This window comes from Homo sapiens, chromosome 14 (genome assembly GCF_000001405.40).
Source record: "Homo sapiens chromosome 14, GRCh38.p14 Primary Assembly".
In the NCBI taxonomy this organism is placed as follows: domain Eukaryota; kingdom Metazoa; phylum Chordata; class Mammalia; order Primates; family Hominidae; genus Homo; species Homo sapiens.
In genome coordinates, this window is record NC_000014.9 from 74,237,782 (window position 1) to 74,262,738 (window position 24,957).

General features: G+C 53.7%; 1 protein-coding gene across 1 annotated transcript, besides 4 other annotated features; it reads left to right on the forward strand.

The window, feature by feature from the left end:
- Nucleotides 1,668–24,957, forward strand: VSX2 (visual system homeobox 2). The gene is made up of 5 exons (NM_182894.3): nt 1,668–2,150; nt 3,401–3,485; nt 7,384–7,507; nt 21,821–22,001; nt 22,813–24,957. The coding sequence occupies exons 1-5, from the start codon at nt 1,781–1,783 to the stop codon at nt 23,136–23,138; spliced, it is 1,086 nt and encodes a 361-aa protein (NP_878314.1). The 5' UTR covers nt 1,668–1,780; the 3' UTR covers nt 23,139–24,957.
- Nucleotides 3,019–3,984: an enhancer, noted in NCBI's record as "H3K27ac-H3K4me1 hESC enhancer chr14:74707503-74708468 (GRCh37/hg19 assembly coordinates)". NCBI's record gives its function as "activates a minimal SCP1, AML or CMV promoter by ChIP-STARR-seq in naive H9 embryonic stem cells {active_cell/tissue: H9 hESC(naive)}" and the evidence as "EXISTENCE:reporter gene assay evidence [ECO:0000049][PMID:30033119]".
- Nucleotides 7,827–8,328: an enhancer, noted in NCBI's record as "H3K4me1 hESC enhancer chr14:74712311-74712812 (GRCh37/hg19 assembly coordinates)". NCBI's record gives its function as "activates a minimal SCP1, AML or CMV promoter by ChIP-STARR-seq in primed H9 embryonic stem cells {active_cell/tissue: H9 hESC(primed)}" and the evidence as "EXISTENCE:reporter gene assay evidence [ECO:0000049][PMID:30033119]".
- Nucleotides 13,847–14,006: a silencer, noted in NCBI's record as "silent region_5927". NCBI's record gives its function as "represses an Ori minimal core promoter by ATAC-STARR-seq in GM12878 lymphoblastoid cells {active_cell/tissue: GM12878}" and the evidence as "EXISTENCE:reporter gene assay evidence [ECO:0000049][PMID:35858748]".
- Nucleotides 19,750–19,929: a silencer, noted in NCBI's record as "silent region_5928". NCBI's record gives its function as "represses an Ori minimal core promoter by ATAC-STARR-seq in GM12878 lymphoblastoid cells {active_cell/tissue: GM12878}" and the evidence as "EXISTENCE:reporter gene assay evidence [ECO:0000049][PMID:35858748]".

The window sequence follows — 24,957 nt, forward strand, 5'->3', positions numbered from 1 at the left end:
AGGCAACATAAGTTTGTGTATCCATTAAATGGGGACAGAAATTCTTTTCTGGCAGGTGAGTCTACTGCTTTGCACAACTCCAGAGGGCACCATTCACATTGTTGTCTACGTGAGTGGTGTTACTTGGGACCCACCTCCATAGAATATAAGGTGAAGAATGCCTTGAGATTGTGTCACCAGAGATGACACCATGTAAGGGGCCTGGGATGATGTAGGCACACAGTAGGCACGGCCTTATTATGGGATACAGAGGCACCACTCTCCCAGATATCTCCTGCACCATGAGATGCCCCTACCTAATTCCAGCTGTTATGTGGACCAAACCAATGGGAGTGGAGACCCTCCTCACAACAGCCCTGCTAGCAAGGTCTAGGTTCCACATCCTGAGGTGCCTCCTCTTACCTCTCAGGCTGGCCCCATGGCAGCCACGAGGGTACCAGACACCTTGGCAATAGGCCAGGTATGGCTAGGGGGTTTCCTTCCATTTGGGGGTTTGCACCTGACTGGCTAAGAAATCCTGGATGGAATCTTCCCAGCCTGGTTTTCCAATCTCTGCTTAAAGCAATGGACCTAGTCCTTATCTCCCCATAGGGTGCCTTCAATTCAAGGAACCTACCATGAACTGACCATATGCTAGGCGCAGTGAAGAAGGGAGCCTCAAGGTCGATAAGATAGTTCCCAGCCCCAAGAAGGTCACAGAAGAGTTAGCTGAGGTGGTGGAGTGCAGGGGAAAGCAGCTTACCTTTTAATTTCCTCTCACCCGCTTCCTCCTTCCTCTCCCTCCACATCAACAATCCCTTCCTCTTCATTCTGTTTGCTCAATGAACTCTGAAGTATAGCAGGGCCCTTGCCTTGTCTGATTTACTGCGGAACCCCTGGCTACCAGGTCGGAGCTAGTAGCTCAATACATATTAGTCGAATGAATTGGGTGGAAGAATCAAGTCCTCCCATGAAAGTTGGGCATGCTTCATGCTTACTCTAGGAAGAGGTTTGGATGTCCATGGTTGTTCTCCAAAAGTAATCATCACTGTTCCTCTTTCCCACCAGGGACCCCTCTTTCTGACCCATTTATCATTCATTCATTGGGCCAATATGTGTTGAGTAGCTCTTCCGAACTAGGCATTATACCTTGTGCTGGGGAAGCAAACTTTCCCTACCCCTACATCACCCTCTGCACACCTTGGCCTGATCTTTTCCCAGCTTACCACCACACACACTGCCCCAGCACTTACCTCTCCCTTGTTCAACCGTTTACACAGAGGTGCCATATTCAGGCCGCCCTGATGCTGCCAACCTGCATAGGAGTTGAGGGAAGGAGGTCTCCCAGTCTCTCACCTCTGCCCTTAGCCCATCCTTCCACCTGACCTCAGGGACCTGTCCCTGCCAGAATCTGCCCAGAGCCCCAAGCCACTCTGCCTCCCGGAACAGCCCTGAACCTGAACCTGGTTGTCTCACTTCGGCCCCTGGGGTCCCTGCCCATGGGCATCCTGCAGAGCCCACCCGGTGCTCCACCCCCAGCACCCTGGCCATTCGACATTGCCTGCGGCGGGAGCTGCCAGCTTTTTGGAATTCCTAATCGCTCCTGGCCCCGGTGATTGGCTGCTCAGCTCTGACCCCACTTGGGCTGCCGCCTGGTTGGATAAAAGGGGAATCTCCTTGGGCTCCAGAGCATTAGACACCGGAGGGGGCACCTGGGACCAACTTCGCGAAGCGGGAAGCCCGGCGGGGGGGTGGGGGGAGCTAAAGACCTGCGGCCTCAGCCCCTCCAAAGAACAGGGAGATGACGGGGAAAGCAGGGGAAGCGCTGAGCAAGCCCAAATCCGAGACAGTGGCCAAGAGTACCTCGGGGGGCGCCCCGGCCAGGTGCACTGGGTTCGGCATCCAGGAGATCCTGGGCTTGAACAAGGAGCCCCCGAGCTCCCACCCGCGGGCAGCGCTCGACGGCCTGGCCCCCGGGCACTTGCTGGCGGCGCGCTCAGTGCTCAGCCCCGCGGGGGTGGGCGGCATGGGGCTTCTGGGGCCCGGGGGGCTCCCTGGCTTCTACACGCAGCCCACCTTCCTGGAAGTGCTGTCCGACCCGCAGAGCGTCCACTTGCAGCCATTGGGCAGAGCATCGGGGCCGCTGGACACCAGCCAGACGGCCAGCTCGGGTAGGTGAGGAGAGGTTGCGCTGCTGCCTGACTGGGGGGCGACAGCCGGGAGCCCCGCGCCGTCGGCTCTCGCTTGCTGGACCAGGCCTCCAGGCGGAAAAGTTCCTGCCAGGCCGGGGGTCGCCGCCTGGGCCTTGGGCCGACGCGCCTGGTGATGGGGCCCGGGAGGATGCTTCGGCGTCCGCAGGGTTTCGGCCCCAAGCGTTTCGGGCGGCCGCGCAGTTCTCCAGTCCCCGCGTCGGGCAGGGCTCGGCCACGGCACTCTGTTGGAGCCCCACTGAAAACTGGGTTTGGGGTGTCGGAGCCCGTGGTGCAGAGTCGCCGGCCGTGTCGGAGGGCCCCAGCACCGCTGCTCCACTGCGGCCCCGGCCTGGTGTAGGATCCGCACTCCTCGAGCCCGATGCTGTTCCGGCTCCGGCCCCATCCCTGGTGTCCAAAGTTGTCTGATTCCCAAATCCCGCGCTGGTCAACTGGGGTTTATTTTTCACCCCCACGAGCTCAGACAACCCGGCCATCGCGGCAGCTAAAGCGGCCGCCATCCTCTCCCACGTAAGCGCCACTATATACTGGAGCCCGGGGACGCGCGGGCTCGGGGACCCTGGGTGACCTCTCCGCCTTCTCCCCGCGCTGCTTTCCGGGAGGTGTGTCGCGGCCCGCTCGAACCTCCGATTCCTGTTTGAGCTTGGCAATTCCCCCGATTTTTCGTTGCGTTTTACTTTGTTTTACGTGGAAAGGCAACGAAAACCAGCGCGTCGCAGGCTCTCGGGCCTCGAGTAGGGACGCATTGTGCCGCCTTGCGAAAAGGACGGTGCTCGGCAGCCCCCAGTCTTCCCGGAGCCCAGCTCCCCACGCCTCCGCTCCGCTCCTCGCTCCTCGAGGCCAACTTTCCGGCCCGGGGCATTGGGGCTGGCCGCGCAGGGCAGGGCGCAGCAGGGTCGCGAGCGCTGCCGGGGATCTCTGCGGCCCCCTAAGGCTGCCTCGCTCTCCGTCGTCCCGGTCCCAAGCGCGCCGGGGCCTTTGCCTCTCTTACAACGAAATCTGTTCAAAACCTCCGGATTCGGGCCCCGGCGCGGGAGAGGTCAGCCTGAGCTCAGGGATGGGACGGCCACCGGGGCGCCCGCAGGCTTCCTGGGGAGACAGAGCAGGTCCCCGCCGCTCGCGGAGGCAGCCCGGGGTGGGGCCCTCGCGGGTTTCGGGCACAGCGGAGCGCGTCCCCCACTCTGCCGCATGTCCCTACGCCCGCTTTTCAGATTCTGAAGATGTTTCCTCCAGCGATCGAAAAATGTCCAAATCTGCTTTAAACCAGACCAAGAAACGGAAGAAGCGGCGACACAGGTGAGGCCCCCGCTTTCTGTTACCTCTCCTGCCCGCGCACCCCGCTGCCGTCCCCCGTTCCGGGATCGGGTCTCTCGGACCCTATTTTCGCCGACAACGGATCTGAGGTCCGAGGCCGTGCCAGGGCGCAGACCACGGGTTGTTTGGCGGAATCTGCCCGGGGGCCTTGGCGTCGGCACCGGTTGAGCAGGATGAGTGGCCGCCGGGAAAGCGGCCCGGTTCGGGCTTTCTCCTCCTTGTTCAGGAGAAAGGAAAGGCTCCAACACAGGCCAAACTGAGCCACAGAGTGGGGGCGGTCCCCAGATCCCCGCACCAGTACATTCTGAGAGCCACACAGACCCGGCGGCGGGCAGATTAGCTCCCACCTCCTGCCAGAGCCGGTTCTTTGCCCTCGGCCTCAACCGCCGCCCCCATTTCTCTCCCGGGGTCCCTGTCCTCTCTGCCAACTCCCTAAGCTTTCTGCTCCCACCGTTCTCCAAAGCTGGAGCGATCTCTGCACTGACAGAGCATTTTCTTTTGGCTTCTGCTCATTCGTGATTCTGACCGAGTCGCTTCCCTTCTGTGAGCCTCAGTTTCCTCGTCTGCAAAATGGAGTGGTAGGCGATGTAGACTGGACGGTCCCACCAGCCGTAGCTGGAGTAGGGTGGACTGCATCGGGGTACAGACTAGAAAGGGTTTTGTTTTGTTTTGTTTTGTTTTGTTTTTGTCTTTAAATGGAAATTACTTGCACAAAGTTAAAACTCAGTAGATGCCGACAGGTATATCTTGAAAAGTAACCTACCCTTCTCCCACCCCCGCCCTCATTCCCTTCCGCACCAGCCGCACTGCTACCAGTTCCTTGGGTACATTTGTAAGGTGGTTTTCAAGGAAATAAAGGAGAAAGAACCAAAAATCTGCCTGCCTTTCTGCGGGTGCTGCTCGCAGGTGCTGCCCCGGCGCTCACCTCGGAGCTATTTCCCCGCACCCCACTCCGTCCCCATCAGGTGGGGCCGCCACAGACTCTGCGCCCTTTCAAGACATTTCTCCACTAGGGCGTTCTCTGGCACCCCCGCCGCCACATCGTTTTCTCCCACCCTAATTTGTTTTCAGCCTCTTTGCACCCTCTCTGCGCTTTTCTATGCTTCGTTCTTCCTTGGCCCTGGGAAACTCCACTGTTGACCGCCACCTTTTAAAACGGCCTATCCTCACCCCTTAGGCCCTAATAGGTTTTGGCTTGAATGCAGGTGAACTTCGACTTGGTTTCTCCGGATCTCGGTCTATTCTTTTTCCGGCAGCTGTTTGCATTTGTTTAGTTTGTATTGTTTTATTTTAAAAGGAAAAAGAAAAATTTTTTTGGTCTTGATCTTTGGTCTTTTTTTTTTTTTTTTACATTCAATTCATTCAACGAATATTCATTAAAACACTTTTTATGCACCCATCTTACGCGGGTCCCAGGGTGGGTAATCTTGTCATCTTCCCCAGGCAGGGACAGGGACCTTGCAGGGAGGGCAGGTCAGAGACCGGCAAAACTGCCCTTGTGCTGGTGCCAGGAGGGGTGGGAGGGGTTCCCACAGCATGGAGAGCCCTGGAAAAAGCATCCCCAAACCCTGGGTACAGGAATGGCATTTCCGCATCAGGACATCTCACTGCATGGCACTTAGTGACCGTCTGTTTTCATCTGTCACTCTCTTCGCCAGGAACACCTTTGGGGGTTTTGGTGGGTTTTCATGGGGGCAGAACAGCAACTCACCAACACTCGGGTATTAACTGCCTGGGGTTTCTATTTCTGTTGCATGAAGGGAGAAGGTTATTGGAGAGAGGAGAATGGCTACGGATTTCAAGTGCTTGTTTTAATTAGGAAAAAATACATTTTACTCGAGCTTCTGTCATTTGGGGATTTGGGGTAAGAGACCCTGGAATCTGGTGATGAGAGATGGGCTTATTTTTATCTCCCAGAAACAAACCAGACTTAAAAGCGTTTGGGGGGTGGCGTGGGGACAAAGCAGCCACGGTGAGAGTCTCTCTGATTTTGCTCTTTCTCTCTACTGGGAAAGCTCAGCTCCTCTTCAGACTGGACACAACAGGAGCCTGAAGGGTCTGGGGTTCTGCATAAACCAGGAACACAGGCTGGGTCACATTATGGGGGAAGTGTGTCAGCTCTGAGGCATGAATTAGGGAAAGTTTGGGAGATTTGAGTTTTTGTTTTGTTTTTTGAAGAGGGGCTCTCCGAAGTAGGGACTGAGACTTGAATGGTTCTACATGACCTATAATCGGCTCTCCTCTTTGACTGCCTTTGTGCCTCAGTTTCCCTGGTTTTGGAAAGGACTTGAATTTCTTTATTGTTTATTTTGATGCTCTGTCCATGGGCCCTTCAGCAGATGGCAGAAGCGAAAAAGCAGCAGATCTTCAAAATTCTCAAGAATTAACTTCGTGTGTGCATAAGCATTTCACATCATCACCCCCCACCCCCAGAGAATAGGAGAAACGATTTAGAATCAAACCAGTCATTTTCTGCAAAGAGCACAATCTTTCTTCCCTGAATTATCCCCCGAGATATTAAAGTGGACACCAGCACAAGGATTGTGTGAGGTTCAAATCTGTACTTTTGGGTTGTGTTAGACGAGGGTGAGGGCCCAGCAATAAGGGATTCTACACCCCTGTGCTGGCGCCAGAGTCTGATCCCAGGGGACCAGGCAAGGGCTGGACCATTTCTACCAGTTCAGTTTGTGGACGCTGGACTATATTGCCTGTTGGCTTGTTAATGAGGTTTCAGGATAAAGACCACCCAAAACCTGGTGAAATTAAGGTTTGAAAAGAGAAGAGTTTGTGTCTGGAAGTAGGTGTTTAGCGGTTTATTCAAGAAAGAGGACCTATGAATCCCCTAATGTTGGAGGCAAAATTTTACAAATTGGGGCCTATTTATTTGCCCATTTTCCTAAGGTGAGAGAATGTAGTTTTTACCAGATTCTTAAAGCAGTTTATAACACAAAATAGATCCATATGAACTGCTCTGTTGGGGGTGGGGAACTGTGCCTGTGGGCTCTCAGGGTGGCCCGAATGGAACCCCCTGCAGGTGAGTGGCTGAGCTTGCAAGTATGGGATGGTTGGAAGGTGGCCCTTCCCTTGTCAGCACAGAATAGGACTGGAAAAGGCTCGGGGCAGTGCTGGGAGGCTGGTAGGTCTGGGTGATGTCGAGGAAGGGCAGGGGAGGAGGAAGGGGTGCTGGGGGGAGTTGAGGGAGTGGGAGATTCAGTTCTCTGCTGTATAAACACTGAGGTTGAGGCTGCATTTGACCTTCCGGTGAATCTTCTAACTTTGAAAGGCATTCAAAAATTCAGCTCTAGTGACTGTGAGAGGGGCCCAGGAAGCTGGTCTGGGTGGAGCTGGGCTATTTAGTAATCTGGTAAGCCCCTCTTCTCTGTGCTTGGGAGGAAGAGGGGCTTTCTGCTTTTCTAGAATGTCCTTCTTCTGGGACAGCCTTTCCCCCAGAGCACCTCCAGAAAGATTCCCAGTGTGAAATGTCACTGAGGGCTGAAATAATGGCCACCCCCCAAACACAGGAAGGGTAGTGTGAGCCCTCAGCCTTGAGGAAGAAGAGTCCGGAGGGTTAAACTATGAGACAGAGAGAGAGAGAAAGTGTGTGTGTGTGTGTGTGTGTGTGTGTGTGTGTGTGTGTGTGTGTGTGAAAGAGAGAGAGAAAGTGTGTGTGTGTGTGTGTGTGTGTGTGTGTGTGTGTGAGAGAGAGAGAGAGAGAGAGAGAGACAGAGAGAGAGAGAGAGAGAGAATTTGTGTCCTATTGTGCTGAGCCAGCCTGGGTTCGGGGCCTGCCCAGGAGACACAGAGGAAGGCGGTTCTGTCTTGTCTGAGACAGGCTCTTTTAGTTTCTGGGGTCCTGAGTGTTCGGTCTTGCTCCCCTCAGGACAATCTTTACCTCCTACCAGCTAGAGGAGCTGGAGAAGGCATTCAACGAAGCCCACTACCCAGACGTCTATGCCCGGGAGATGCTGGCCATGAAAACGGAGCTGCCGGAAGACAGGATACAGGTAACAGCCCTGAGCCCCTCTCCCCTCCACTCTCCCCTCTCTCGGTGACATCTACCACTCCAGGGTTCCAGATGCCCATGACCCCGCCTCCCAGCCCCACTGTGGGCATGTGCTTGCCTATGATCATGTTCTCAGCCTATTTAAGCTGAACACCTGCCACATGAGGTGGGTGCTGTCGGGGGATGAGAAGCACCCAGTTGTGACCTGGCTGTTGTTCCAGACTATAGGCTTCCCGGGGAGTATGTCAGACAGACCCTGCGGGGGTCTGGGGATGAGAGGTGGAGTACTGGAGGGGCCCCCGGTCCTGGGCAGGGTCTCTGTTGAGGCGGAGGTCCCTTTGGTACAGCTAAATGTCTGTTCCAAGGCCAGAGGGTGCCCCAGGCCTCTGGGTAGCTGTGAAGAGGAAGGTGGCTTCTAGTCCTGACCCCAGTCTGTTTCCCTCCCCTCTCCTCCCCTCCCCATGATGAAAGTGTTACCCCTTCTCTTCCTGCTTCCCACCACTCCATCCACCTAAGGCTCCTTCCTCCCACACACAGCCCAGCAACTGCTGCCCTGACCTGCTGCTCCTTTTCTTCTCCCAGGTTTGGCCTAGGATGTGAGCTGGGGCATGGCCCTGCAGGTGGCTCACTAAGCCCTCCTCCTCTCCTGGGCAGTTTTGTGGCATAACTAGCCACTGATCTGGGCATGTGGTAGGCATGGGGCCTCCACTTAGCGGCAGCAGGACCTTGGCAAGTCCAGAGTCCCCTACTTGGGCAGGAGTAGGGCTGTGGAATCATTTCTCTGGGGGAGGATGGAGTCTGGGCAGGGCCTCCATGAGGCAGAAGGAGTGGGGTGGGAGGAACATTTCCAGAAGATTTGGGGTTGTCTTAGCTGGTGCTCAACCTTCAATGAAAGCTGCTCCCATCGCCTGAGCGGTCCAGAGCTAGTTCATTGCGGAGGCTGGGGTGTGTGGGCCAGGGGCTGGTCCTGACTTCCTGGAACTGCTCTGCTCTGCGTCTCCTCCCCAGTCTAGGTTCCTTGTATCTCCAGGTGTGATGTGTGCCTGGGAGGCCGGGGGAGCCAAGTAAGGTGTGTGGGTTGCTCTGTACTCTCTCACTGGAGGACCAGAGAATGTGAAATGAGGCTGTGAGGCCTTCCTCTCCCCTGGAAATCTATTTGGAATTTCAGCCGATGGTTTTAGACATTGACACTAACAATAAGCTCAATTATTCATAAGCAGATTATGTTTGGTGCATTATCCATGGGGGCCTGGACCCATTACCCTCCACCCAATTGGGTTCTTGTGAGGTAAGCTGGGCGTTGATGTTGAATTGTGTGTGTGCACGTGTGTGCGTGTGTGTAAGCCAAGCCTTAAACTGCACGGCAGTAACCCCTGCCTGGCCTTCATTAGCATAAAGTTGGCCATTCCAGGTGGCTGCGGCAGGGAGGAGCAATGACAAATCCCCGCTGTTGGCAGGCCCCACATTTGCGGTATTGACCAGAATGAAGGAATAGCTTGTCTCTTGCAGTGGGTTGTCCTGAAATCTGCTTGGTAGATTAGGTGGGGGAGGGTGGATGAGGTGTTTGAAACCTGCTGAGCTCAGGATTTGGGGGCAGGCTCTCCCTCAGCTGTAACTGCATTGCTACGAATGCCCCAACAGGCACATTTAACTTAACAGGGCTTTGTTAAGTTGCTTGGGGGTTGCCTATAAGGTGGTATCTGAGGGCACCAGAACCAGCAGGAAGGAGCTTGGGGTGTGGGATGAGGAGAGCTCATCGCCCTGGGACTGTGAGGATTGGCTCTGCAATTTGTGGATATCGGAGAAATGAGGAAAGAGTCTCAGAGCCTTTGAGCACCACATGCCTGAATGCTACCCCCAGAAGCTGTCTGTGAGTTGTCAAGTCCTCTTGCCCCAGTTCAGTAAAGTGGCCTGGGAAAGATCTTGGTGTGCATCAATAGCAGTCACAGCGATCGTTTCCAGAGGAGTTTCCATGTGCCAGGTGTTCTCCTGAGTTCACGATGTACACAGGACAGGCAGGGTGGTACCATGGTTAGGGTCACTGACTCTGGGGCCAGACTGGCTGGGCTCCTGGCCGGGCTTCACATGCCAGAGCCTCTCAGTCTTCATCTGTACAATGGGGGTGACAGTGGCACCTGCCTCTTGTGTGGAGGTAATGAGCCATATGTGTGCAGCATTCAGGGCAGTGCCTGGCACGTGCCCCCAGCTCACTCGGTGTCAGATCTGATCTTATTAAGTCCTGGTGACAATCAGGGGCTGAAGACCATGAATTTCCTTTGAGAACTGAGGCAGCTGAGGCACAGCCTCTTGCCCAGGCCCCACAGCTAGTAAGTGGGAGACACAAGACTCAAACCTAACTCTGAATCGAAAGCCCACAGTGGCACTGCCCACCTCTTCTGTTTGAAGTCTTTGCTTTGACTTGAAGCTGGGGGAGCATAGGTGATTTGAAGTCAGGCGGGGGACCTGTATCACAGTAAAGTTAATCAATGTTTATTGAGTACCAGGCACTGTTTAAAAAAAAAAAAACAGCCCAAAACTCACTTATATAACAAAATTATTTTTGAATGGGCAAATTCTGTACATGAATTCAAGAGGGTGAAAAGCAAGTCCTCGCCCTCCCTCGACCAGCAGCCCACCTGTGTCTTTCATTTCCTCACAGAGCTAGTTCATGTATATTCAGCAGAGTCCTCAGAACACCCATGAGCTAGGGGCTATTACTCTCATTTGACAGATGGGGAACCTGAGGCACAGACAGAGGCCAGAGTTGAGTCTCTTTAGACTCCAAAACCCTTGCTTTTCTACCTTGACTTCCCTCCCCATCATTTCCCCTCCACGTGTTGGCCGCCACTCCTGAGCCAGCCCCCTCCCAGCCTAGCTTTGGGTCAGAGGACTCTGCAGGTGAGACGAGCAGGAAAGGGGAAGTTATTACTGGCTCCAAGTCTGGAGTTAGAAATTCTCGGCCACGCAGTGGCTCAGGCCTGTAATCCTAGCACTTTGGGAATCTGAGGTGGGAGGATTGCTTGAGCCCAGCAGTTTGAGACCAGGCTAAAAAAAAAAAAAAAAACAAAAAAAACCAAAAACGAGACCCTGTCTTGGAAGAAAAGAAAAGAAATTCCTGGCCAGGTGCAGGGGCTCATGCCGGTAATCTCAGCCCTTTGGGAGGCTGAGGTGGAAGAATTCCTTGAGTCCAGGAGTTTGAGCCCAGCCTGGACAACATAGTGAAATCCCCATCTCTACAAAAAAAAATTTAAAAATTAGCCGAGCATGGTGATGTAAGCCTGTGGTCCCAGCTACTCAAGAAGCTGAGATGGGAGGACCACTTGAGCCCAAGAGGTAGAGGCTACAGTGAGCTGTAATCGCACCACTGCACTCTAGCCTGGGTGACAGAGTGAGACTCTGTCTCAAAAACAAACGAACAAAAAAAAAAAACAGAGAGAAATTATCAAGTTGGAATGGAAAGGTTATTGAACTGGAGATCAGGAACCCGGATTTTAGCTCCAACTGACATCTGGTGTGGCAGAGGCTAGGCCACTTCCCATCTGTGAGCCTCAGTTTCCCCATCTGTAGAAGAAAGAGGTGAGATCCCTTCCAGGGAGGTGCCTCCTGAGTATTCCCCCACCACAAGCCCCTGGGCTGCCATTGGTAGAATGGGGGTGCAGGGCAGGTTAAGTTTAACAGGCCCAGATGGACCGCTGGAGCATACACCCCTGCTGGGCCAAGCCAAGAAACCCCTGCATGTCTGAAGTCTACTGTCTGATGTCTGATGAGAACCTGCGATGTAGACGCGGAAAGGCAGACACACCTACTTCCAGTCTTTGTTTCACTGCCAGCAAGCCAAACCCTGAGTCTGAAATTACTCATTTGTAAGATAATAATATTTTTTCATAATGCTAACTTAATAAAAACAGTGTTGTTACTGGCATTTATTAAGTACTCACCATTGTCCCAGATATTAAGTGCTTTCCATACCTCGTTTCTTCTCTTTTTCTTCTTTTTTTTTAGAGACAGGGTCTCACTGTGTCACCCAGTCTGGAGTGCAGTGGTGTGATCTCGGCTCACCGAAGCCTCTGCCTCCCAGGCTTAAGCAATTCTCCTGCCTCAGCCTCTTGAGTAGCTGGGACTACAGGTGCCCACCACCATGCCTGGCTAATTTTTGTATTTTTAGAGAGACGAGTTTTTGCCACGTTGGCCAGGCTGGTCTCGAACTCCTGACCTCAAATGATGCACCCACCTCAGCCTCCCAAAGTGCTGGGATTACAGGTGTAAACCACCATGCCCGGCATGCTTCATTTCATTTAATCCGTAACAGACAAATTAGTTAGCTGTCATTCCTACACCCATTTTCTAGATGAAGAAACTGAGGGGCTGAGAGGTAAAGTAAGACTGGGATTCAAACCCAGTACTCAGCTACCGTGACATGAGATCCTATGAGATAGACATGAATGCCTCTCTATACAAACTGTAATAATGCAAAGAACAGTGATGACAAACCAGTCCCAGCAGAAAGGCATGATGATTTCCTCTGCCTTTGTGTTTGGAGAGTAAACACGTCCTCACTCCACATCGCTCTGGGCTGGAGGTGGAGGATTATGGTGCAGTGTTGGGGAAAGAAAAGCTTCTATGTCTCCACATCAGACTCAGGCACACCGTCTTCTTTGTGTCTTAAATAAATAAATAAATAAAACGCTGGTGCCTGTGATCCCAGCATTTTGGGAGCCTAAGGTCGGAGGGTCACTTGAGGCCAGGAGTTTGAGACCAGCCTGGGAAACATGGCAAAACCTCATCTCCACAAAAAATACAAGAATTAACAGGTGTGGTGACACATGCTGGTCCCAGCTACTTGGGAGGCTGAGGTGGGAGGATTACTTGAGTCCAGGAGGTCAAGGCTGCAGTGAGCTGTGATCGTGCTACTGCACCTCAGCCTGGGTGACACAGCAGAATCCTGTTTCAAAAAAAAAAAAATTTTTTTTTTTAAATGCTAGGATATGGCATTCTGGAAGTCCCTGCCAGCTATCAGCCCTGGGGAAGAGAAGGTGGGTTTCCAGACTGACTTAATTTCCTCTGAGGGGTCACTTGTTACTAGAATTGTGAGGGCAGGCTACATATATATTCATGTGTTTATTTTTTTTTCTAAGATGTGCTTGTTATAAAATGCAAACATTACAGAACTATGAATGTTCGAAGTAAACAGAGACTACATTTCACCCCTCTTAGAAGTCTCGTGTATGTTGAAGGCTGAGGTTTAGATTCTCTGCCGAGCACTGTGTGACTTTGCCTCTTCTAAAGTGGCCCCTGCCTAAGGGTAGGGAACAAAGTATTAGTGGGTCATATTCCAGAATTAAGAAGATGGGTGCTTGAGTAGGGAAGGGTTTGTACAGATCTCATCTCAGGATGGTTATTAGAATCACCAGGGCAGATTTTTTTTTTCTCGGCTCATTGCAACCTCCGCCTTCTGGGTTCAAGCAATTCTCCTGCCTCAGCCTCCAGAGTAGCTGGGACTACAGGTGCGCACCACCACGACTGGCTAATTTTTGTATTTTTAGTAGAGACAGGGTTTCACCGTGTTAGCCAGGATAGTCTCGATCTCTTGACCTCGTGATCTGCCCGCCTCGGCCTCCCAAAATGCTGAGATTACAGGCGTGAGCCACCGCGCCAAACCCCAGGGCAGATTTTTAAAATGCCCATGCGCTCCCCCGGCCAACACCCAGCAATTCCGATTTAATTGGTTTAAAATCAAACATCTTCGGCAGGTCACAGTGGCTCACGTCCGTAATCCCAGCACTTTGGGAGGCCGAGGCGGGTGGATCACTTGAGGTCAGGAGTTCGAGACCAGCCCGACCAACATGATGAAACCTCGTCTCTACTAAAAATACAAAATTACGCCGGGTACGGTGGCTCACACCTGTAATCCCAGCACTTTGGGAGGCCAAGGTGGGCAGATCACCTGAGTTCAGGAGTTCAAAACCAGCCTGGCGAATATGGTGAAACCCCGTCTCTACTAAAAATACAAAAATTAGCCGGGCATGATGGCGGATGCCTGTAATCCCAGCTACTCAGGAGGCTGAGGCGGAAGAATAGCTTGAACCCGGGAGGCGGAGGTTGCAGTGAGCCGAGATCGCGCCATTGCACTCCAGCCTGGGCAACAAGAGCGAAACTCTGTCTCAAAAAAGCAACAAAAACAACAACAAAAAATCAAACCTCTTCACGTTGGCATTTGTATGCTTTTAAATCTCTCTAGGTGATTCTGTGTGCAGTGAATGTAAACACACTGGGTTGGAGGCTCAGGAGAGGGTTGTTTCTGTTCTGAGTGGGTTAATATGAGTGGAAGAAAGTGGCGTTTTGGGTGGCAGGGGTTTGGGGTGAGGAAGGAAATGGAATGTCAGTGCTCAGGCAAGAGGCTGTCTGGAAATGTGGTCGGAGCTGCCCCCTAGTGGGTAACAGAGGCTGCAGCAAGACTCCACTTGTCTGAGCCTTAGGCTGGGCTGCACAGAGCGCGCTGCAATAAACCGCGGGCGAAGTGCTGAGTGGGTGCAGAGTGTGAAGCCCTTAAGTCACGCCAGCGATGAGCCCAAATTCATCAGCTTCCAGCCAGAGGGGAAGAAAGAGACTGGGGGAAAGTGATGGACGCTCACCTGATGGCATGTGGCAAGATGGCAGGGCAGGGCCTGAGGTAGCGAGGAGACCAGAATGTGCAAAGGGCATCTGTCATGCACAATGTCTCCTTCAGGAGGTATTTAGGAGGGCGATCCTGGAAGGACTGCAGAGGGTCTCCTGGGAGATGATTGAGGGATGGAACCCTGGGCATGTTTTCTGGTGGCGATGCCAGGGCGGGAGCTTGCAGGACAGCAGCTATGTGATGATGCAGAGACAAGAGGAGGTGTGAGGCATGGCCTCGGCTGTTCCTGCTGATTGCCCACGTCGAGAAAGAGCTGACAGGGTTTCCTGGCCTGCTAGCTGTGCCTTTGCATCCACTTGGCAAGAAGTCCTTCCCTGGGCCCAGTCTTTCCTTCGAGGCACAGGCACATTCTGTGCCTGCTGTGGAGGCACCTGCCAGACAACTGTGGACAGCCACAGTCTTTCCACACAACCTGGGCTTTCTTTTCTTTCTTTTTTTTTTTTTTGAGATGCAGTCTCCCTCTGTTGCCCAGGCTGGAGTGCAGGGGCACGATCTCGGCTCACTGCAACCTCTGCCTCCCGAGTTCAAGCGATTCTCCTGCCTCATCCTCCTGAGTAGCTGGGACTACAGGCTTGCACCACGACGCTCACCTAATTTTTGTATTTTTAGTAGAGACGGGGTTCCACCATGTTGGCCAGGGTGGTCTCGATATCTTGGCCTTGTGATCCACCCGACTCGGCCTCCAAAAGTGCTAGGATTACAGGCATGAGCCACTGCGCTTGGCCAACCTGGGCTTTCTGATTGCTGCTGGGGTATCACTGCTGATACCTCTGAGGAGAAATGTATCAAGAAACCCAGGCTTGTCCAGGGGTGGTGGCTCACACCTGTAATCCCAGCACTTTGGGAGGCCTCGGAGGGCGGATCACCTTGAGGTCAGGGGTTCGAGACCAGCCTGGCCAACATGGTGACACCCTGTCTCTACTAAAAATACAAAAATAAGCCGGGCATGGTGGCGGGTGCCTGTAATCCCAGCTACTCAGGAGGCTGAGGCAGGAGAATTGCTGGAACCTGGGAGGCAGAGGTTGCAGTGAGCCAGGATCGTGCCACTGCACCCCAGCCTGGGTGGCAGAGTGAGACTCCATCTCAAAAAAAAAAAAAAAAAAAGGAAAAGAGAAACCCAGGGTCATTCCCAAACTGGAAGGCCCTCCCAACTCACTTTGTCCTGGGACTCCAAATCTGGTGGCCCTGGGTGTCACTTTGGGCCCCTTTTCAGGCACCTGGCACCCTGACTGAAGTATAAGGCAGGGCTCTAGTCCTCGCTGGCACCTTGACGCAGGGTCTTCTGAAGAGCTTGGGACCAGACTCCCATGTGAGAGGAGCAGTCTCTTCTAGAAAGTGAGCGGTCAGGAAAGTGAGTGAGAGAGGGATCAAAGGAATATTGTGGGTTTGTCAGAACCAACAGTCCACCTAGAAAAAGGAGCCTAAATGCTGAGAAGACATATCAAAGGTGGGAGATAAAATGATAGGGTTTTACGTGAAAGGTATCCTAGAACATTTGCTAGAAAGCAAAGCTTGTTGCACATCTGTCCACAGAATTCATCAAGCATCAGGCCAGTGTGTTTCAGTTATCACTATGTGGCAGGCATTTCCCACACGCTGTTTAATTTCCACCAGAAACCTGCAGAGAGGTGGTGTCACAGGGCAGGTAAGGAATGGGAAGCTCAGAAAGGTTAAGAAATGCACTTGGCTGGGTGTGGTGGCTCACGCCTGTAATCCCAGCACTTTCGGAGGCCGAGGCTGGCTGATCACCTGAGGTTGGGAGCTCAAAACCAGCCTGGCCAACATGGTGAAACCCTGTCTCTACTAAAAATGCAAAATTAGCCAGGCATGGTGGCACAAGCCTGTAGTCCCAGCTACTCAGGAGGCTGAGGCAGGAGAATCGCTCGAATCTGGGAGGTAGAGGTTGCGGTGAGCTGAGATCGCGCCATTGCACTCCAGCCTGGGCAACAAGAGCGAAAATCCGTCAAAAAAAGAAAGTAAAGAAAAGAAAAGAAAAAGAAATGCACTCATAGCCACAAAGGCACCTAGAGGCAGAGCAGAAATCCCCAGTCTAGGGCTTCTAGCTGCTGCACCACAGTCCACTCACAGGGAGTATGGGCACTGTGTAGGTGTTCCCCTGTACTGGAGCCTTAAGGGCTTGGGATGTATTAGAAATGTGGGGAGAGGCCAGGCGTGGGGGCTCACGCCAGTAATTCCAGCAATTTGGGAGGCCAAGGCGGGCAGATCACCTGAGGTCAGGAGTTCAAGACCAGCCTGGCCAACATGGTGAAACCCTGACTCTACTAAAAATACAAAAAATTAGCTGGGCGTGCTGCCAGGTGCCTGTAATCCCAGCTACTTGGGAGGCTGAGGCAGGAGAATCACTTGAACCCAGGAGGTGGAGGTCGCAGTGAGCCAAGATCACGCCAGTGTACTCCAGCCTGGGCGACAGACAGAGCGAGACTCTGTCTCAAATTTAAAAAAAAAGAAAGAAAAAGAAAAGAAATGTGGGGAGAGTTTCAGGAACACCTGTTTAGCTCTCCAAATGCCTAAGGGGGAAGTAGAGGCTATCTGTATTGAATATACAGCCAAAGGCTGGATCTTTCTTCCCCTCCTCCTGGACTGTTGTTATTATTATTTGTAAGTCCAGCCTTGAAGGGCATGTGAAGGAGGCCAGAGGGCCAGGCAATGCCATTGATTAACTTGCCTTCCGGGTAGGCTCCCATTTATTTTCAGTGTCTCTACCGAAAACTAACACTTATCGGACACCTTCTGTATGACAAACACTGATTTTAGGCACTCACTTATTTCATGTAATCCTCCAAAAACCCCGAAAAGTGGATTTTTTTTTTTTTGAGACGCAGTCTTGCTCTGTCGCCCAGGCTCGAGTGCAGTGGCATGATCTCGGCTCACTGCAAGCTCCACCTCCTGGGTTCACGCCATTCTCCTGCCTCAGCCTCCTGAGTAGCTGGGACTACAGGCGCCCCCCACCACACCCGGCTAATTTTTTTGTGTTTTTAGTAGAGTCGGGGTTTCACCGTGTTAGCCAGGATGGTCTCGATCTCCTGACCTTGTGATCCACCCACCTCGGCCTCCCAAAGTGCTGGGATTACAGGCGTGAACCACTATGCCTGGCCTGAAAAGTGGATATTCTTATCTTTCATTTGGAGAGACTGAGACTGAGGGAAGTCAAGTAACTTGCCCAAAGTCACACAGCAATTTTTCAGAGCTGGGAATTCCAGGTCAGGACTGGCTGGCCTCAATGCTTCTGGTAAATATTTCAGTTCTATATACAGGCTGGTGGCTTCCAGGAAGGGAATAGAAAGGGACATTTACAGAGCAGTTAGGGTTAATTCTAATTCCTTGTCCACTTCCCTCCAAGGCACCATTGCCATAGCATCCTTGCCAACTGTCTTAGAAAGAAATTGTTTTGGCCATCCAGGTTTCCTCTATAAATTGGAGCAGCATCTGGTCTTCACAGAGAGCCAGGCATTCCAGGAGCCCATAACTGAGGGTCTGGATGACTTCTGGTTTGAGCGACCAGCTGGCACTGGCTCCCCTGGGAGAGAGTCTGTGGGCAAAGTCTGATCTACAGATCAGCCAGATATTCATTTGCCCAAATTAGGAGACCCAGGAAAATAGTTCTGTTTATAGGCCCCAGAGATGATCAGAATCCCGAGTCTGCACCCCCTTCTTTAGTACCCTAAAAATGCTGTTTCCATCTGAGAAACTGCGCCATCTCAAGCATGGGTATTCATGGAACTCCTGGGGAAGCCAGGGCAGTGCACCTTGCCAGGTATCCACACTGGGTGGGTGGGGGCATCTCTGTCTTTCTATATTCCACAATGCCTTCTCCAGAAACCCTAAGTCCAAACTGCACTGAAAACAGAACCCTCTTTTATAAATTTGGCATCAAAACTCAGTGATGGCAAAAACCGGACCAGACCTTACAGAATTTATTTATCGTTTTTAGTGTGAACATGTACATAAATGCTTTGCTGAGAAATCGAAGCTGATGGGTTTGATCATGAGGTGCTGCTGCTGCAGGACATTATGTTACTGTGGTTTATGCATCACATCTTTTTTCTTAAATCCAAAACATTCTCCAGTCTGGCTGCACAGATGCCAGTTGAGGGGTTGTGGCCTTGTTTTATTAGGTTGGTGCAAAAGTCATTGCGGTTTTTGCCATTGAAAGTAATTACTTTTGGCCAGGCACGGTGGCTCACACCTGTAATCCCAGCACTTTGGGAGGCCAAGGCGGGTGGATCACCTGAGGTCAGGAGTTCGAGACCAGCCTGACCAACAAGGTGAAATCTCGTCCCTACTAAAAATACAAAAATTAGCTCGGTGTGGTGGCGGGCACCTGTAGTCCCAGCTACGCTGGAGGCTGAGACAGGAGAATTGCTTGAATGCGGAAGGTGGAGGTGGCAGTGAGCCAATGTCACACCACTGCACTCCAGCCTGGGTGACAGAGCAAGATTCCATCTCAAACGAAAGTAATTACTTTCAATGGCAAAAACTGCAATAAGTTTTTGCACCAACCTAATATAATGCACTGTATTCAAGCAGGACAGACTGTCACCCGACCAGGAAGTAGGTGGCTTCTTATATTCATGAACCAAACCTCTCCAGCCCTCTGTGGTCACACTTGGTGTCTGGAATTCCATCACCAGGGGATTCATTCTTTGCTGTCTTCTCTGAGAGGTGGATAAAACCGGGAGTCATACTTTTTTTTTTTTTTTTTTTTTTGAGACAGAGTCTTGCTCTGTTGCACAGGCTGGAGTGCAGTGGCACGATCTCGGCTCACTGCAACCTCCACCTCCCAGGTTCAAGCGATTCTTCTGCTTCAGCCTCCTGAGTAGCTGGGATTACAGGTGTGCGCCACCGTGCCCGGCTAATTTTTGTATCTTTAGTAGAGATGGAGTTTCCCCATGTTGGCCAGGCTGGTCTCAAACTCCTGACCTCAGGTGATCCACCCGCCTCGGCCTCCCAAACTGCTGGGATTACAGGCATGAGCCACTGCGCCAGGCCGGGAGTCATACTTTTATGTAGATTAGTCCTTTTGGATTTTTCCTCTGTGGGAGAAAGCAGCTTGCAGCAAGCAGATACGCTAAGGGGAGGATGATGGGGCAGGATTGAGGCCCCAGACAAACCGCAGGCCCCGGGTAACACAGCTAGTCGGGCACACATCCTGCAGCACAGGCCCGCGGCGCTGGGGAGATCTACATACGGCATGGAGCCAGGCCGGGACGCAGGCCCGAGTTAGCACGGCTGGCATTGCTGCCACTCCCTTCAGGGCAGGGAGGACAGTCATCTAGCGGCCTTCGGATTACACAAACCCTTTCCTTGGCGGGGGTCTCCCAGGGTGGTCAGGTCCGGACCAGGCAGAGGCCTTGCACCTGTGCTTCCCAGCCCCCCAGTTTTGCGCGGGAACTGCAGGTGCCAAACCCGGAGGCAGCAAAAGTGCTGCCCAAACGGGGATGGAGCCACCCGGGGCGGGAGAGGCCGGGGGCATCTAAGGCCGTGTAGCTCCCATGTTTAGAGGCTCCCAGTTATTTACAAATGAATAAAGGCCAGAGGACACGCGTTTGGGTCAACTTAAAGGTGCGCGTGCAGTGTTCTGTGACCTCCGTGGGATGCGAGGCTGGCGGGCCGGAGCGCCCCTGCCGGGGATTGGCCGGCCGCGCTCCGCCGCAGACTCCGCGCCGCCGGGCGCTCACTTCGCCACCTGACGGCAACGGCGGGAACCGCAGGAGCGCGCGGACCACCCCCCACCCACTTCCCCCGAGCCCCGCCGGCCCCAGCTCCCGCTCCCCAGGAAGCGAAGGGTTAAGCTGTCAGCGGCGCGATGTTAAACAGGTGTCAAAGGCGCCCCATATATCTGCAGATTGAAATCAAATTCTTCGCCGTATAAAAAGATAAATTACCCAGGCGCTGCCGAGCGTCCCACTCATCACGCCAGCGCCAGACGGCAAGCAATTTTTTTTTAATGTGCTAACGACCTAATCAAGCAATCAAGTCGGAGGAGATTGCAGCGTGACCCGGGCAGCCATCTGCCGCCGAGCCCGCATGCATTTCCGCGCCGCGCGGGGCGGGGGCCGCGAGGGGCTGCCGGGGGGAAGGGGGAAAATCCTAAACAAATTAACACCCAATTTTCCCCGTCTAATTAGTTAAATGAGAAGAGTTGGGGGTCCCCGGGGAAGCGGGGGCGCTCGCGACGAGGCGAGTGCTGCCTCCCCAGCATTAATTAGTGCGGGTCAATGCCGCGGCTCCCGGGAGAGCAGCCGCTTTAATTTCCCGTGGTATTTCAGTGCCTGAGGCCCATCGATTCAAACTGAAATTAACTTATTTTTCAATCAGCCCAGGGCTGCCCCTGGGGGTGACTCTTCTTTTGCCGCCTCCTGAATAGAGCTGGAGCAATTTTTCATTAAAAGCTGATACCTCTGCCGCGGGGGAGGGGGCCCGGAGGGAAGGGCGGCGCCGGCCCAGACCCAGGCAAGGAAATCGGGAGGAAATGAACAGATTTCCCAAGCCCGCCTCGGTCCTCCCCTCCCGACTCCCTCGACTTCCCTGGGGCGACTCGCTGCCCCCGGGGTCTGAGCCTTTAAGGACTGTGAGGGGCGAGAAGGGAACCGCCAGGCTTGGGGCGCACCATTACCCCGCGGGCCTGGACCTCCTTGGCGGACAATGCGAGGGGCTCCCGGCTCTGTCAGCTGCGGGAAATCTCCGGAAAGCTGCTCTGGGGGACCAAGAAATGTTCCCTCCTCAAACTTGGCAGGGATTCTGGGATCCTAGAATGGGCTAGAGTGCTGCAGACACCCCAGGGTACCCCACTGTCATTCAGACCCTGCACCAATCAGCTTTGGGGCCAGAGACACATTCGCTAGTGCTTCCTCCGCCCCCACTCCCTCCCAGGTCCCTCCTCCCATTTGCTCCTCAACCCTGGAGAATGTTATCTTCATCCCTGGTCCAGCTCCCCAAATACTATTCAGAGTTAGGCTCGGAGCTGTGGGGAGCAGGTACCTGGAGGGCACATGTGGTTTGGCAGAGCTTAGCTGGGACAGGGTGGAGGAGGCAGGCTGACCCAGGCCTCCGAGGGGAGTCTCCCTCCCTGAGTTCCCAGCCTTCCTGATACCTGGGTGAAGTGCCCCTAAGACTGTCCCCTGCCCTTTGTCCCTGATCCCTCACTCACCTGCAGCCCTCCTGGATGGTTGTGACTCTGGGCTTCTGGCAGAGAGGAAGCCCTGAGCCAGAGACACTGCTAGTCCAGTGCTGGGAAAGGAATTTGTCCCTCTGCAAATCAGAAAAAAAGATTTATATGCTGGAGGTGTGAACACATGCAAGAGAGCCATCAGTGGCAGGGCAGGCTTCTCAGCTGCAAACAGTCGATGACACTGGGTCCTGCGCACCTGCAAGACCCTGTCCAGGAAGCATCCATACCCCATCTCCCTAGAACTACCCATGATATTCTCATAAGACTGATGTCCTCCTTCTGAATACTCCCTGAGCCTGGAGGAACACAGAGGGCACCATGGAGTAGGCGAGCTTAGGTTAAGGACGCCCTGCTGGAGAAATCTTCACTCCAAGCCTACAAGGGGTAAGGGCCTTGGGCCCAGCACCTCTCAGAGCAAGCCTCTGACCTGTTCTGTGCACCTGCAGGTCTGGTTCCAGAACCGTCGAGCCAAGTGGAGGAAGCGGGAGAAGTGCTGGGGCCGGAGCAGTGTCATGGCGGAGTATGGGCTCTACGGGGCCATGGTGCGGCACTCCATCCCCCTGCCCGAGTCCATCCTCAAGTCAGCCAAGGATGGCATCATGGACTCCTGTGCCCCGTGGCTACTGGGTAAGAGCCCGCACCCTCCTTGGGGTCCTGCCCTGCGGTGAGGAGAGCGGGCTCCTTGGAGGAGGGGACAGAGCCTTGAGGCAGGGGCACTTGGGCCACAGCAGCCTAGCAGGAGAGAAATTCTTCAAAGCAAACCTCTTGGTCTATCCTGGGGGACTCAGAGCAGGGTGGGCCTGGGGCCTGGTGTCTGTCACTTGCACTGGGTGCCAAGAACTCTCATCATGAACGAGTCCCTAACTGTGGATTATTTTGTCCTGTGAGAACAGTGTGGCTGTTGGCCTGGGGTCTGTACCCTCCTCTCCCCTTGGCCAGAGGTGGGTTTATATTGAACAAAACAGTCTTCCCTGGGGGTTGAGAGAACCCCTAGGTCCCTCTGGCTGCCATTCTGCTTAGCCCAAAGGACTTCTGTCCCCCAAATCTCTCTACTTGCTATCTTCCCCACCTGCCAACTTCCCCACCTGCCCTCTGGGCCTATATCTGAGAACAGCACCAGCTCCTCTTGGGGTTCTAAGATCCGGAATCCCATGGGGGAGGGACAGGGGAGCATGTGCTGTGGCCTGGAAGGGACAGAACAGGCCACCCGAGGCCCAGGTGCCCAGGGCTTTGGCAGGGGGAGGTCCTCCACAGGGCTGGCGACCCATCTCCCCATTCCCTGACCCTGGTCCAGCCCTGGGACTTGTGTGACTGCGGTGTGGGGAGTAAGGCTTTCTGCTCGTCCTTAATTCTGGCCTCTCTCTATCTTTGCCGTTTTCAGTTCAAGATGGCTTTCCCAGGCGCTTTTCTAAACCCGAATACCAACAATTCTTTCTAGGGATGCACAAAAAGTCGCTGGAGGCAGCAGCCGAGTCGGGGAGGAAGCCCGAGGGGGAACGCCAGGCCCTGCCCAAGCTCGACAAGATGGAGCAGGACGAGCGGGGCCCCGACGCTCAGGCGGCCATCTCCCAGGAGGAACTGAGGGAGAACAGCATTGCGGTGCTCCGGGCCAAAGCTCAGGAGCACAGCACCAAAGTGCTGGGGACTGTGTCTGGGCCGGACAGCCTGGCCCGGAGTACCGAGAAGCCAGAGGAGGAGGAGGCCATGGATGAAGACAGGCCGGCGGAGAGGCTCAGTCCACCGCAGCTGGAGGACATGGCTTAGGTCAAGGCGCGCTCAGATGCCGGAGCCCCAAGACTCTGCTCTCCTCGGGCCCTGTGGTGCTGGGAGATGCTCTCTGAGGCAAGGCCCAGACCTGGCCTCTGCCATCCTCCCTGTTCCCCACAGGTCCTCCATCACCCCTGGTGGCTGCAGGCACCGCTGGGTTCTGACTCTGGACCATGCTGAGACATCCCTCATCTAGTCTTGACCTCTCCAGCATCCCAGCCTCAGAAGCCTTCTTGCTGCCCACAACGTCCCCTCAAGCCCCTTCTCTCAATCCCTTTGCAACGCTCACTGGTTTTGGCCACCCCTTGCTCTCTGTTCTCTTGCTTTAAAGAGTCCTCCTTCCCAGCTCTACATTCTGCTCTGCCCATGCCTAAAGCCCATTGCTGCAAATGCATTGTGAATTGCCTGCCATGGCTGTGACACAGACGGAGGACTGGAACTGCAACTCCAGCGTCCTCAGCACCCCACTCCTCAGTAAAAGTCTTCTCCCAACTCAGCCTGTTCCTTCCTGCAGACCTGGCTGGGCCTGGGCTTCCACAGTGTGAAGACACTGTGCAGGCCCAGGCAGGCCCAGCCTCTGCCCCACCCATCAGTGGAGTCCAGATGGCAGGCTACAGTTGGGAAGTCTCAGCCTGGGCCCCTCAGCCACCCTTGGTCTCATGCCCCGCCATGGTCACCCTCAGGAACCCACCCTCTCCACACCCAGCCTGTCCCACTGGCTCCTCCCAGCACAGGCACCTATGTGGCATGTGGTGATGTACGCTGCGTGCCATGAGTCCATGTCCTATGCCTCACAAATGCTGTGGTTCACTGCACTGTTCAGGAGTCCAAACCTTCTACCCTGGGTCCTCGGGCCCCTGAGCCTGTGTCCTGAAGAATCTCGACTCTCGTGATATGCTGCTTGTGACCTTGACTTGCCATGAAGGCACCTGCCCCCACAGCTCCTTGCAAACTATGAGTTCACATGTGCCCTGCCTTGAACAACCCAATCTGGCTGGTAAATGACATCTACGAAGCCACAGGCCTGGCCTCAACTGAGAAGCCAAGCCTGGAGTAGGCCTGGGGCTATGCATACGCATTAAGGGCCTGCTGGAGAAACCTTCACTCCAGACAGACAGGGGGCTAAGGGGCTAGGGCTGAGCACCTCTCAGAGCAAGCCTTTGACCTGTTCAGAAGGATGGGAAAAAGGCTGGAAGGAAAGCAAGGCAGAAGGCCAGGAGTAAGCCCAAGCTAAGCTGCAGGCACACACGCCTTCATGCCAGTGCATGCCAGGAAGCACGTTCACTAGACTAAAACACGGTAACCATGATGGAATAAGGAGCTGGGGCTTCTTTCTGCTGGCTGATGGGTGGACCTGTGTATGGTGACCTCTCCGGCCTGGCCTTTTCCATTCGCATGAACAATGGGAGCACATAGCCCTGTTGACCTGCCCGATCCAGATTCCCAGGCCAGGCTCCCGACCCCATCCACCTATCCACCACCCCACCCACCTTTGCAGGGAATACCTCGTTAGAGAATGGCCTGAGACAGTGCGTTGCAACTTTTTAATTCCATATCAAAAGTTGATTTCTTCTTCATTCCATTTATGGAACTTCCCTCCCCCTAGTCCGGTTCTTCTTGTCTTTGTCCCTGTTGGTTTGAAGTGTTAGACTATAGCCCCTGGTGTGTAAATAATGTACATAGAGTGAGAAGAAAGAAACTTGATATTGAGGTGTTTGAAATATGGAACTGTAATAACTTCTAGGTATTCGAAACCTGTGATTTCTGTGCCATTTTCTGTAAAGATACAAGTAAGAATAAAATTGACTTAAAAATA

Coding starts and splice junctions, on each gene's coding strand:
- VSX2 (NM_182894.3), top strand. CDS start 1,781: ATGACGGGGAAAGCAGGGGAAGCGCTGAGCAAGCCCAAATCCGAGACA. Junction 2,151..3,400: donor CAGCCAGACGGCCAGCTCGG/GTAGGTGAGGAG, acceptor CCCGCTTTTCAG/ATTCTGAAGATGTTTCCTCC. Junction 7,508..21,820: donor TGCCGGAAGACAGGATACAG/GTAACAGCCCTG, acceptor GTGCACCTGCAG/GTCTGGTTCCAGAACCGTCG.